The sequence below is a fragment of the Homo sapiens genome, chromosome 14, assembly GCF_000001405.40.
Source record: "Homo sapiens chromosome 14, GRCh38.p14 Primary Assembly".
NCBI classification, from domain to species: Eukaryota; Metazoa; Chordata; class Mammalia; order Primates; family Hominidae; genus Homo; species Homo sapiens.
Window position 1 is genome coordinate 49,971,639 of NC_000014.9, and position 13,943 is coordinate 49,985,581.

The window sequence follows — 13,943 nt, forward strand, 5'->3', positions numbered from 1 at the left end:
TGTGGGCAGCCTCGTGTGTGTGTGGTGGTGGGGGTTGTGGTAGGGACCTTGCAATATCTCTAAGCTCAAAATAAGGACATTGGACTCTAAAAACTACCAAAAACCATACATCGGAAACTCTTGGGTTCATCATGATAATAAATGAAGTCTCACATAACTAGCTTTCATTTTTATGCCTCTTGAGTTCTCAGGTTTCCCCACCCCCCCCCACCAGGCTCTTTTGATTATGGGAAATGAGTGTGTTTTGGGACAAACATGTCAGGATTATGAGGGAGAAACTTGGCAGGGGAGCAAACTGTGCAATATGCTTGACAAGACTTGAGAAACAATACATCTCAGATTTTTTCAGATAGTTCTCAATTTCTGGTTCAGAAATATGGCCCAGAAGCTACAGAAAGGGAAGCACCACTGCAGCTCCACGGAGGGTCACTGCCTCTTAGACTTCACTAAGGAGCCAACAGGGGCCATTTATGCCCAGAAAGCTGAGGTGTCTGCAGGAGGGGAACTTACTCCTGCTTCCACCAGGAGTACATGGAAATTGAAAAGAGAGAATTTATGTTTTTTTGCCTTAAATGAGAAAAACAGAAGGTAGATCTCCCAAGGCAGAACATCTGTAATGATAGAGCAGTAAGGAATATGAGGAGGGAAACATGAGCATGTTTGCATAAACATTTAGATTTTTCTGGGCTTGCCCAATCCCAGTCTTTTGGAGTCTGTCTTTTATGAGGGCAACCGTGGTTTAAGAGTGAGCAAATGTTAGTTCATGTAATTAAAACCCGTTGAATTGAACAGGAAACATTCACGGGAAATCTGCAGGTGTCTGCAAGCAAGAGTGACGCTAGAAGGATCTTAGTATGCCAGCTCCCTCTTCCTCAAGGGTAGTGTCCCTGGAATGAAGCCACCAGCAACAGGAGAGGAAACAGATGGGGTTGTAGAAAGTAGGAGCAGCAAAAGCTTCTGAACTTAGTAATAAGCTGCTTGCCCCGGGGTGAGTATAAAAGGCATCTGGGGTATTTGCTTTTTTGTTTATTGGAGGAAGAAAGGTGTCTCGCAACATTTCTCTCTCTCCCCTTCCTCTCTCTCTCAAATTTATTCAGGATATGAAATTTCTAAGGCTACTGCCATCTTAGGGTTTGAATCTCTTTTCAGCTTCATTCACACATATTAAAGAGAGACAGTTCCAGTATGACTTAAGAAAGAAAAGCCAGGCTGATTTCCAAGATGCAGTGTTGTGCCACGGATGAGTTTTCTTCCTGGAGTGAGCTATTTGAGTTTCATTTTTCTTACCACCTTTTAGCCTCTTCATTCCAAGGCCTGGACACTTCAGGCAGAGAAGCCCTCATCCTGGGTGTCGGGGTGGGAGGTGTTCTCATCATGAATGGGAGGCGTACCCAGATCCAGCTCTGCCTTTTTTTAACCAAACCAGAGTGTAAACAAATGGCTGTGTGACTCACCATAATCGACATAGCAAGATATGATACATGCCAGGAGAGAAAAAGAAAGTGCTGATGGAAAAATAATCTCATTAGGGAGATTTGTTTGTGGTGATTTATTTTATTTTATGTTATTTTATTTTTTTGAGATGGAGTATCCCTCTGTCATCCAGGCTGGAGTGCAGTGGCGCGATTTCCACCTCCAAGATTCAAGTGATTCTCCAGCCTCTGCCTCCCAAGTAGCTGGGATTCTTGGAGCCCACCAACACACCTGGCCAAGTTTTGTATTTTCAGTAGAGATGAGGGTCTCATGATGTTGGCCAGGCTGGTCTCAAACTCCTGACCTCAAGTGATCTGCCTGCCTTGACCTCCCTAAGTGCTGGGATTACAGGAGTGAGCCACCACGCCTGGTCTGTGGTGACATTTGAAATGAATCTGAAAAATGAGTAGAACATTAACAGATGGAAAAGACCGTCACTGTATTATTACAGTATTAATGCTCAGTAATATCTGTATCTAACAATACCATGGAGCTTTTGTGGGGCCTGGTCTTAGAATATGCTTTTGCTGGCAGGTGCACCTCGATTATCCTTTGGAGACCACCTTACTCTTTGTTTTTGTTTTTGTTTTTGAGATGAAGCCTCACTCTTGTTGCCCAGGCTGGAGTGCAATGGCGTGATCTCGACTCACGGCAACCTCCGCCTCTCGGGTTCAAGTGATTCTCCTGCCTCGGCTTCCCGAGTAGCTGGGATTACAGGCGCCCGCCACCATGCCCAGCTAATATTTTGTATTTTTAGTAGAGATGGGGTTTCACTACGTTGGCCAGGCTGGAACCTTACTCCTACTCTCCACCTAGGAAGTGTGAGTGAGGCTGGCTCTGCCCCAGGCTCCTGGTGAGGCATGCAACCCAGACTGGCCAATAAAAGAACCACATGTCCTTAGCATAGTGAATTGGCTCAGGGTGGGAGAGTGACCCAAGTTGGGCTAGTCCTGGAGCTTTTGCTGGAACAATTAGGGAAAAGGATTCCTCTTTTTTTTTTTTATTTTGAGACAGTGCCTTGTTTTGTCGTCCAGGCTGGAGTGCAGTGGCACAATCTCAGCTCACTGCAAGCTCCGCTTCCCGGGTTCACGCCATTCTCCTGCCTCAGCCTCCTCAGTAGCTGGGACTACAGGCGCCCGCCACCACGCCCGGCTAATTTTTTGTATTTTTAGTAGAAATGGGGTTTCACTGTGTTAGCTAGGATGGTCTCGATCTCCTGACCTCATGATCCGCCCGCCTCGGCCTCCAAAGAAAAAAGGATTCCTCTTTCTGCTGGGGTTCCTAAGCTGGTGGGTTCCTGTTTGGGAGCTTTAAGGGGCCACTTTTGTTACCATGGAGGGAGAAACTGAGACATGAAAGGAAGATTCCTGAATCCTTCGTTTGAGCACCTGGAGCCAGTTATGCCTGAAACTCTATGCCTGGACATTTTAGTCACTCAAACCAATAAGTTTACTTTTTCTTTTCTTTTCTTTTCTTTTCTTTTTTTTTTTTTTTTAAAGAGATAGTATCTTACTGTGTTGCCCAGGCTGGAATGCAGTGGTGCAATCATAGCCCACTGTAACCTTGAACTTCTGGGCTCAAGCAATCCTCTCGCCTGGCTAATTTTTTTTCCTTTTTCTTTTTTTCGAGATGGTGTCTCCCTCTGTCACCCAGGCTGGAGCGCAGTGGAGCGATCTTGGTTCACTGCAATCTCCGCCTCCCTGGTTCAAGCGATTCTCCTGCCTCAGCCTCCTGAGTAGCTGGGATTACAGGTGTGCGCCACCACACCCACCTACTTTTTGTATTTTTAGTAGAGACTGGGTTTCACCATGTTGGCCAGGCTGGTCTTGAACTCCTGACCTCAGGTGATCTGCCTGCCTCAGCCTCCCAAAGTGCTGGGATTACAGGTGTGAGCCACAGCGCCTGGCCTCACCTGGCTAATTTTTTAAGTTTTTGGTAGAGATTGGTTCTCCCTATGTTGCCCAGGCTGTTCTTGAACTCCTGGCCTCAAGAGCTCCTGCTGCTTTGGCCCCTCAAGGCACTGGGATTATATAAATTTACTTTTTAAATATGTCATCTTGTGCTGTATTTGTGCTTTTCCCCTTGCAAACAAATAAACAAAAAAGTTCTAGTCAATACATAAATCTTTAGTGATCTGCTTAAACAAAGCTGTGGGAGCAAGAGGGTAGCAGATTCAGAGAGCAGTTTCCTAGCAAAAGTCTTTCTGCTGCTAACATCTTCCAGGTCAGCTTCCTAGGCCCCAGTGACTAAGACATTGGGACTTTATTCTTAACCTCCCTGGTCCAAGGCCTTTCACAGAGCTAGCTGACTTCTGTGTGCTGGATATTTTTCCATGAATCAGAAATGAAATATGCAACATTGTAGCCACAAAGCAATGAAAACAGCTCATTTGTCGTTTGTGTCCCTCCAAGCTTTGTTTTTTTCTGGGTCACACGTTATTAGTGAAGAGTCATAATGCTAATCCAGTTTGGATTTATTAACAGTTGAATAGACTATTGAGAAAAAACTTGTTAATCATCAGAAGCAAATTCATTGCAGAAGAATTACAGACAGAGTGGGACAAATGCCTTAAGCCAACTAATTTTCTGCCCCTTCAGGGAAAACTCTTGGATATTGGAATTAAGTGTCACAACTGGAAATGTAAGAATGTAATTGCTTTTATTGAATACTTACTATGTCCTTGATACTAAGGACAGTATTTGCCTACATTCTCTCTTAATTTCATCAACTCTGTGAAGTAGGTCCTAAACCCCGTTTTATAGGTGGTGAATGACGCAGACATTACCAGTTGCTACCCAATGTCCATTCTTTCCTTGTTCCTTACAGAGAGGCAACCCCAAGCAGTGACTGCTTCTAGCTCAAAGTTCAGGCTCTCTGGTGATTTCTGCGGCTGCTACTGCAGCTGTGGACAGCCATGTGATCTGATTCTGGCCAGTGAGACCTGAGTGGAAGTCTTCTGCAGATTTCTGGAAAAGTATTTCTTCTGGGATATGGGCACTGCCCCTTCTTCCTTGTTCCTTCCTTCTCCCTTTCTGGAATGTGGGTGTGAGGCTTGTGGCAGAGTAGCCATGCTGTGACCTTGAGGAAGCTATGAGGAGGAAATCCACATTCTGAGGGTGGAGGAGCAGGAAGGTGGAAGGAACCTGGGATATTGCTGACATTGTAAAGCCACTATTCCTCCCTGGAAGGCCTACCTTCAAGACTTGTTATGTGAAAGAAATAAGCCATTGTTTGGTTAACCTGGTGAGGCTGGGTTTCTGTTGCAGACAACTGAATGCAATCCCTAAGTGATACAGGGAAACTGAGCTGAAAGAGTTTAAGGGACTTGCTTGCATTTCCATATAAAGCGATGTCTCAAAGCTGGGTAAGACATGATTCCTACGCTTAAGGTGTTTACAGCCTAGTTTGGGAGTCCACTGCATAAAGAAACAATTATAATATAACATATTTAGTATAATGGTGGTGATTTGCATAGGGTATCATGGGTGCCTAGTAGAAAAAAAAAAGGAAACAAGACAAGAGCAGAATAAAAGTTAGCCAGGCAAAGAAGAGAGGTCAAAAAAAGAGATTATAGCTTGAAATAAAGGATGGAAGTGAGAAACAGCATGGCATACACAGAGGGCCACAAGCTGGTCTGAGTTGCTGGAGCATAAATTATAAAGTAGGCATTGGTGAGAAACACAGCTGGAGAGTTGTTTCATTTAATTATTGCTGAATAATAAGCCACTTCCAAAACTTAGTGGCTTAGAACTATATTTTACCATTTCTCATAGTTCTGTAATCTGAGCTGAACTCAGCTGAGTGGTTCTTCTGTTCATGGAGTATCTGTTGGGGTTGGAATACCCAAGAAAACTTCTTCATTCCCATGTTTGATGCCTCCAGCTGGGATAACTGAAATAGCTGGCTGGCTGGCATCTCTCTCTCTCTGTCTCTTTTCATATAGCCTCTACATATGAATAGCTTGGGCTTCTTCATAGCATGGTGATCTCAGGGTAGTTGGACTTCTTACATGGTAGATGGCTCCAATTAAAAGGAAGAGGAAGTTACCAGTGCATTTAAGGTCTGGGCTCAGAGCTATCAGAACAGCACTTCCACTGCACTCTGTTGATCAAAGCAAGTCACAAAGCCTGCCCTGAGTCAAGGGAGAGGAAATGGCTTCTATTTCTCTAAAGGAGGAACAATATGCACACATAGGGAGAGATGAATCAACAGTGGCCATCTTTGGAGACTATCTACTGCAGATTTTATAAGGGCGCAGATGAAGGACGCTCTTTTCTGCTTCAGGTAGGTTGACATGAACACCAGACCTAGGGCATTTACCTTGCTTCATATGTCGAATCTGAAAGGAGAAGTCCTCTCAGGCTGCCCTGACTCATCAGAGTAAAACAGAGTAGTGTGATTAGGCAGAGGTAGGGCTGCGGTGTGGCTTCTCTGCTGAACCCCCTCCAGTTTTCATATGGCATGGACTGGACTCAGAGGCTCCCATATGTCATGAGAGATGGTTGAGATAAGAGTTAGAGAGGCTACCTGGGGCCCTCAGTGGTGAAGGGAAGGCAAGCCCATAGTAAAGAATGGGCGGACCTCTCAGGCCAGATGCTGGATGGGAGATTGGCAGAAACCCTTCAGAGCCAGGGCCAAGGGAAGCTGAGCTATGGCTGAGTCTACCTGGGGAGATCACTGAACCCTGGCAAAGCTGAGAGATCAGACAAGAAGTTCCCAGCCACCCTGCAGCAGAGATTAGTGAGGATCTAGAGAACATAGTAAGGACTCCAGTGCCTCATGGCGGACTCCAGTGCACTGGCGGACTCCGGTGCTGCCTTTTGTCTCCCATAAGGTGACAAAAGACAATACCCATCCTAATGAAGGAATTACCCTGCCAACATCTTGGAGCACAGCAAGAGGAAGATGCAATGCCTTGAGAGACTGGGAATGCACCTGAAGTGATGGCTGCTTTTACTCTCTTCATAGCATTTCGTGGACTGCAGGAAAATTTATGCAGCAAGAGAGGCTCATAAGGAAGAATAGATACATTATAATGAAATAAAGAAGCCATGTTACATACAATTACAAAGAAAGAATAGGAGTAATGACAAATTCAGGACTGCAGTTACCTCTATGGGAGAGGAGGGGGTGGGGGAGTCCACAGGGAGCTTCAACTGTCTTGCTAAGGCTTTATTTATAAAGTTAGGGAATGGGTACATGTGTGTTGTTATATTCTGTATGCCTTTTTGTGAGTTTTAAGTAGTTCATAATGTAACTTTTTAAAAGGCTACACTTCTGAATAGATCTGTGAGCCCCAATGCCAAGTTTAGGTCTTGAACAGATTGTATGGGAGTGGGGATATAGAAAGAAGCTTGAAACAGGACTCAGACCTACTTGTTAGAAAAATCAACCTGGCTGGACTTGAGGAGGACAAGATAGAGTCAAGGGAGGCAGTGAGGGGGCTGCCACACCAATGCAGTGAGAGGGGACAGTGGCCTGATCTCCCCAGAGGTGGTTGGGGTGGCTTAGAAAGTCAAATTGGTGGACTTAGTGATGAATAAAATGTGGGGTGGTGTGGGCAAGGTTTGTGGTTGACTGGACGGATGAGTCCCCTACCTCCAATTGACTAAGGTAAGAGAATACACCCAAGTGGAGGGTGTATTTTGGTGCAGACATGAAGAGGTCATTTAGGACAGGTTGGTTTGGAGGTATCTGTGGGACATGCTGGTAGAGATGCCTGGACGGAGGGTGGATGCATGGGTCTGAACTCCAGGGAAGAGATCTTGGAGACCCCAGCACTGATGCAAATTGAATTTCTAGAAGTGGGTGAGGTGCTCCAAGAGAGAGCAAGTAGGGGGCCAGAAATGAAGATTCAGGGAAGTCTGGGGCACAGCACCCCCTTGGCCTGAGCAAGGGGAGCCTACAGCCATTCCAGCTCTTCAGACACCCCTTTGCCATCCTCTCTGGAGCTCCAACTTTGGTAAGCAGAAGAACTACCACCCACCATCACTCCCTCTGGCCTGCCTCTGTGGGGAGCAATGCATTCCCTGGGCTCCTCCCTCCCTGCCCTTGTGCATTCTCTTCTCTATTTGCTGTCAAGGTTTGCCTGCCTGTGGGCTTGCTTTCCTTTCTCTCCAGAAACACTAAAAGGGGCAGAGAGACCGCCCACCATCCCCCACCACCCACCATAGGAGCATGAAACGATAGGAGCTGCTGAGGTGCAGCCTGGAGACCCCTTGGGTGCCTTGGCATCTGTCCGCTTCCTCAGCCGCTGGGTGCTCAGCCCCCTGCTAGCCCCAGGCCTTTCAGAGCTGATGGCCTTGTTCCGCTTGTTCTCCAGACACGGTTTAGGTAATGCACATTCTTGTGACCCTGCCACAGTGTCTTAGACTTGAACTTCTGAACACTGGGCTCTGTGGAAACCTCTCAGCCCTGAGTAGCTGGCACTTTATTGGTGTTTCTCTCCCCTCTTTTGAAGAAGGGATATAATGCTTTCCTTTTTGCAGGATGGGTTTTTTGCCAATAACAGGAACATGCAGAGGCTGCTCAGAGCAGTTTTGGTTGGTAGTGAAGTTGGAGGATGTGGAGGTGAGGGGGATTGCAGCCTGGCCAGCCCATTTGCATGGGTCCTCACCTCCTTTTTGGTGTTATTGTTGTTGTAATAAATGCAAGACAGCGTTAGTCTTTGTTGACAACTTGGGTATCCTCTATCCTCTCTTCCACCCAGACCCTGTCTCCTTGAACTGGAAATCTCTCTTTTTCTTAAAATTTGGATTCTCATGTGAAGTTTAGAATCTGAATTAGAGAGAGGCTGCTCTGAGCTCTAGGACAAAAAAAGGGGGAGGTTTCCTGCCCTAATTTGGAATTAAGGGAATTTGGGAAAAGCCAAAGCAACAATGTTGTTTCAGAAATATCAATCTCTCAAAGCATTTCTCCAGAATTGAAATATATTTCAATTATGGAATGAAAATGTATCCATGGGAATGATAGAGGGTTTGGTTTGCCTAAAAATAACTCTGTAGTCAAGGTTAATACAGCTATGTAATAAGTTAATCAAGAAAGGAAAGTTTTCATATAGAAAGCACTTTAAGGAATTACTCCAAACTGTCATAGCATCTACTCTGAGATTTTCCAGTTGCTTTCAGGGTGATTTACTTACCAGCACTTTGGAACTTACTAGTATAAACTGTAGCCTTCTGGTATAAAATTTATACCAAAAAGAACAGCTGTGTACAAAGAGGCAATCTGCATTCTCATGATGTACCATTCCACCTGATAACTGGGCTTTCATTGGTTCATTCCTCTGCCTCCAGCCCTTGAACATGAGCCAACTCAGATAGCAGGGCAGCCATTCCCTTCCCAGGACTCCTCTGGAAACCTGCTCACTGCTTTGTTTTGGTTGCCTTATCTTGAGCATCTGATGTTTCTTGATGTACCTTCTAGCTCTGATAACCACCCCTATGATGTCCCCATGGCCACCATGCTTACTCTGGGATTGCCCTTCTGGGATGGTAACCCTGCCCAAGGCCCTCCTTCTGTCCTTATTCTGAGCCAGGTGTTAATAGCCAGCCAATGGGATCAATAAGCTGGGGAAGGAGGGTGTTATGGGAGTCTGGGAGTTGCATTTTCTAGCTAACATATTTGCATTTTAGTAGGGGTCTCCTGGGGCAGGGAATGTTAATTTCAAGAGAATTCCAGGCACTGAAACAAGCTGGGGTGTGTGTGTGTGTGCGTGCACGCGTGTGTGTGTGGTGTGCGTGATGGAAGAGGAATAGAATAAGAAGGAGGCCAAGGAAGAGGAAGAGGAGGAGAAGGAAGAAGAGAAGGAGGATGACGAAGGGGAAAGGGAAGAGGAAGAAGATAGTGGCCACCATCTATCAATTCAGCAAAAAGAACATAGAGAACACCCATTGTTCCTTCCATTCAGAGATGACCACTGCTAATACCTTGTATATATCCTCCCAAGCACCTAGTGTCATAGATATAAATGAACTTCCTTATCTCTAGCAGTCAAATTGAGACAATTTTATAAACTTAAAAGAAAACTGCACACAATTTCTGTATGTACCATTTAGTAACACTTACATTCCTTGTTCCAGTAGCCCCACTTCTAGGAATCTATCCTAAGGAGAAATATAGATTAATAAAAACAACCTTAGCCATCATGTACTGAAGGTTGATTGTGTACCAAGGGTCTTACACACATTGGCTCATTTAATTCTTACACCAACTCTACCAAGCAGATAACATCATCTCTCACCTGAGACTGGAGAAGTTAAGGACCTTCTCCAGGGACCTTAGCAGGGACCTCTGCTAGCAGGTTAGTCTGGAACTGGAACTCTGTGCAGCAGGTACCCCAGGATAAGGTATCATCCATCTGGACCGTCTCAGAAGTGAGTGTACCCCCTTGTCCCAAGTTTCCTGTCCTCTACATATGCTCTAAAGGCCCTGGGGTATGGGGAGGAATGTGACTCAAAGTCTTGCCCTCACATCCAGTGCTGAGCAGCAGCAGGTACAGTGCCTGCTGGGCCTCCCATCTGCTTAATTTCCCCTTCCATGAAGCCTTCCATCATCTGTTAGACCAATCTTGTCTTTCTTTTATTTGTATTTATTTATTTAGAGATGGAGTCTCACTCTATCACCCAGGCTGGAGGGCAGTGGTCCAATCTCAGCTCACTGCAACCTCCACCTCCCGGGTTCAAGCGATTCTTTTGCCTCAGCCTCCAGAGTAGCTGGGATTACAGGTGTGCACCACCACTCCCTGCTAATTTTTGTATTTTTAGTAGGGACAAGGTTTCACCATGTTGGCCAAGCTGGTCTCAAACCCCTGTCCTCAAGTGATCCGTGGCCTCCCAAAGATTCCAGGCATGAGCCACCGTGCCCGGCCCAATCTCGTTTCTCTTTTCCATGTGCTTGCGCAGTGCTTCAGGGCTGCCTCAGTCTAGCACAGAAAATACTCTACTGCCTCCCCACTAGTCACAGCCTTGACGGTCTCAATCAGAATTATCTGGCAAAGTGGAGAAAGTGCAGACCTACTGAATCAGATTCTCGGGTTCAGATTTTCTTGTAGCACACTCACGTGGGAGAGAAACTTCGCTGGCACACGTCTCCTCAGAGCAGGGACCTGGTCTCATTGCTCTTCATGTTTCCCACAGCTCTTAGCACCGTGACAACCAGCAGCCAGTGTCTGGTGAGTGTACAGAGGTATTTCCTAGGAAGAAAATGAGAGTAAGGAGAGTGTAAAGGTGGGGTTAAGAGTGTGGAACAACTGAAGAGGATATAATTTGAGAGAAGAGCGGTGAGATGGGAAACCTCAGGGTTGATCCACAGTGCCCACCCTTGGGGTTCCTTTGAGTGCTAGAATAGATATTCAGTCAATATCTCTTCCCCTCCTTTTCTCCGTAGACACATACTTTAGTCCCAGAATTTTTTTTTTTTGAAATCTAAACTTTCAATGACGAAATGAGTAATTGTGCATAAAGTGGGTCACAAGGAAGTGATAACGAATGCACAGACTATTTTAACTGCTGAATCAGAAATCGCTCTGCTACGTTATGAAATATGCAGGAAGGAAAATAAGCAGATGACAGAAGTGGAAGGAATCCTAAAATAATATTTTCACAAACAAATTCTGACCCAACATAGGCTTGGGGGGCAGTGGGGGGAAGCTTCCATGCTACACATTCCTGAGAGTTGAAGAATTGGAACAAAATTGCCAAAGTAGAAATCTTTCTAAATGACGTAGGATCTCCTGAGGCACAAAGCCACCCAAACCCGCAGCCCGAAAGCCTTCTGTAATTTCATGGGGGGGTCTTAGTCACCCCGCTACACGGCATGGGCAGGTTGGGATTAAAGAAAGCAAAGACAAAACAAAACCCACAAACAAAATTTACAAACTGTTCTATTTTTTCTTCCTAACACAAACAAACAAAACCCACTTTTTTGGTTTCATTTGTTTCATAGATTTTTAAAAATTGTTGTAAAACATATGTAATATAAGTTACCATTTTAGCTTTTTTTTTTTTTTTTTTTTTTTTTTGAGACAGAGTCTTACTCTGTTGCCCAGGCTGGAGTGCAGTGGCATGATCTCGGCTCACTGCAACCTCTGTCTCCCGGGGTTCAAGAGATTCTCGTGCCTCAGGCTTCCAAGTAGCTGGGATTATAGGCATGGCCACCACGCCCAGCTAATTTTTGTATTTTTAGTAGAGATGGGGTTTCGCCATGTTGGCCAGGCTGGTCTTGAACTCCCAACCTCAGGTGATCTGCCCGCCTCAGCCTCCCAAAGTGCTGGGTTTATAGGTGTGGCCACTGCCACTGCATCCGGCCCATTTTAACTTTTTTTTTTTTTTTTTTTTGGAGACGAAGTCTTGCTCTGTTGCCCAGGCTGGAGTGCAGTGGCACGACCTTGGCTCACTGCAACCCCTGCTTCCTGGGTTCAAGATATTCTACTGCCTCAGCCTCCTGAGCAGCTGGGACTACAGGCACCTGCCACCACATCCAGCTAATTTTTGTATTTTTAATAGAGACAGGGTTTCACCATATTGGCTAGGCTGGTCTCGAATTCCTGTCCCCGTGGTCTGCCCACCTCGGCCTCCCAAAGTGCTGGGATTACAGGCATGAGCCACCGTGCCTGACCAGCCATTTTTAAGTGTACAATTCAGTGGCCTTAAGTACATTCACAATTCACTTAATATTGCCCAACTGTCACCATTATCTATTTCCAGGATTTTTGCATCATCCCAAACAGAAACTCTGTACCCAATAAGCAATAATTCCCTATTCTCTCATGCCTTATCTCCTGGTAACCACCATTCTACTTTCTGCCTCTATGAATTTGCCTGCTCTAGATACCTCACATAAATTGAATCACACAATATTTGTCCTTTTGTACCTGGCTCGCTCCTTCCCTTCCTCCCTCCCTCCCTCCCTTCCTTCCTTCTTTCCTCTCTTTCTCTCTTTCTTTCCTTCTTTTGATGGAGTCTCACTCAGTCGCCCAGGCTGGAGTGCAATGGTGCAATCTCGGCTCACTGCAACCTCCGCCTCCCAGGTTCAAGCAATTCTCCTACCTCAGCCTCCTGCGTAGCTGGGATTACAGGCACATGCCACCACACTTGGCTAATTTTTTGCATTTTTAGTAGATACGGGGTTTCACTGTGTTAGCCAGGATGGTCTTGATTCCTGGACCTCGTGATCCGCCTGCCTCGGCCTCCCAAAGTGTTGGGATTACAGGTGTGAGCCATCACGCCCGGGCTTTTTTTTTTTTTTCAGACCTATTTAGTATCCAAGTACCACACTTATTTCACTCAGCTGAAGTTTTTCAAGGTTTATTTATGTTGTAGCATGTATCAGAATTTTATTCCTTTTTATGGTTGAATCATATCCCATTGTATGTACATGCTGCATTTTGTGTGTCCACTCATCTGTTGGTGGATAGATTGTTTCCATCTTTGGCTATTGTGAATAATTCTGCTATGAACACCAATGTACAAGTATCTGTTTGAGTCCCTATTTTCAATTCTTTTGAGTATACACTTAGGAGTGGAATTGCTGAATCATATGGTAACTTTATGTTTATGTTCTGAGAAGCCACAGACTGTTTTCCATAGCGTCTGCACCATTTCACATTCCCACCATCAATGCACAAGTATTCCGATACTTCTACATCCTCACTCACACTTGTTATTTTTCTTAAAAAAAAAAATAACAGACAACCTATTGGATGTGAAATGATATCTCATTGTGGTTTTGATAGACTTGTAGGCAGAAATCATACTGAGGACACATATTACAGCTAATTCACATAGTTTAGGTTTTTCAACAAAAACTAGGAATCAGCATGTACTGAAGATATACTAAGGATGTTTATAATTTATCTTATTTTGCACACTATCTTCTTTTCTATCTTATTTTTGATGTGAAGATCTAAACTGACCTCTTATATTCTCATTTTATGTATTAGTTAATTTTTCTTCTAGATACACATTTCAGTTTATCCAATGTTCTAAAAATGGTGTATAAGGCATTCAAAAATTTTTAATCTGTGATGACAATTGTCATTACTTCTGGTATCCTATTGAAACAGCCTCCGAAGATGAGTCAGTTCTTTTAATTTCTTTTCTTTCTTTTTTATTTTTAGACAGAATCTCACTCTGTCACCCAGGCTGGAGTGCAGTGGCATGATCTTGGCTCACTGCAACCTCCACCTCCTGGGTTCAAGCGATTCTCCTGCCTCAGCCTCCCGGGTAGCTGGGATTACAGGTGTGTGCCATTATGCCCGGCTAATATTTTGTATATTTAGTAGAGACAGGGTTTCACCATGTTGGCCGGCTCGTCTCGAACTCCTGACCTCAAATGATCCACCTGCCTCAGCCTCCCAAAGTGCTGGGGTTACAGGCGTGAGCCACCGTGCCCGGCCCCTTTTAATTTCATTGTTAAGTTATGTAGTGTTTTGTAGTCAATAGAACAAAAATGAGAAGAGAAGTTATTTC

At 45.0% G+C, this 13,943-nt stretch overlaps 2 long non-coding RNA genes across 5 annotated transcripts in view, besides 3 other annotated features; one reads left to right on the forward strand and one right to left on the reverse strand.

Annotated features, from left to right (window-relative positions):
* The window catches only part of LOC105370485 (uncharacterized), a 19,875-nt gene continuing 5,932 nt past the window's right edge, over nucleotides 1-13,943 (forward strand). Inside the window, exons 1-2 of one of the 3 annotated variants that reach the window (XR_007064159.1) lie at nucleotides 1-988; nucleotides 13,592-13,713. This is a non-coding gene — a long non-coding RNA (uncharacterized LOC105370485). Of the gene's footprint in view, nucleotides 989-5,557; nucleotides 5,758-13,591; nucleotides 13,714-13,943 lie in introns of those variants that run through there. The other 2 variants (XR_943841.3, XR_007064157.1) reach the window with 2 other exon arrangements.
* Nucleotides 4,173-4,467: a silencer, noted in NCBI's record as "tiled region #3168; K562 Repressive non-DNase unmatched - State 23:Low". NCBI's record gives its function as "represses a minimal TATA promoter and a strong SV40 promoter by Sharpr-MPRA in K562 cells {active_cell/tissue: K562}" and the evidence as "EXISTENCE:reporter gene assay evidence [ECO:0000049][PMID:27701403]".
* Nucleotides 5,956-6,085: an enhancer, noted in NCBI's record as "active region_8332". NCBI's record gives its function as "activates an Ori minimal core promoter by ATAC-STARR-seq in GM12878 lymphoblastoid cells {active_cell/tissue: GM12878}" and the evidence as "EXISTENCE:reporter gene assay evidence [ECO:0000049][PMID:35858748]".
* Nucleotides 6,106-6,155: an enhancer, noted in NCBI's record as "active region_8333". NCBI's record gives its function as "activates an Ori minimal core promoter by ATAC-STARR-seq in GM12878 lymphoblastoid cells {active_cell/tissue: GM12878}" and the evidence as "EXISTENCE:reporter gene assay evidence [ECO:0000049][PMID:35858748]".
* The window catches only part of LINC01588 (long intergenic non-protein coding RNA 1588), a 25,852-nt gene continuing 21,939 nt past the window's right edge, over nucleotides 10,031-13,943 (reverse strand). For both annotated transcript variants that reach the window (NR_126498.1, NR_126497.1), the window contains exon 4: nucleotides 10,031-10,666. This is a non-coding gene — a long non-coding RNA (long intergenic non-protein coding RNA 1588). The remainder of the gene's footprint in view (nucleotides 10,667-13,943) is intronic.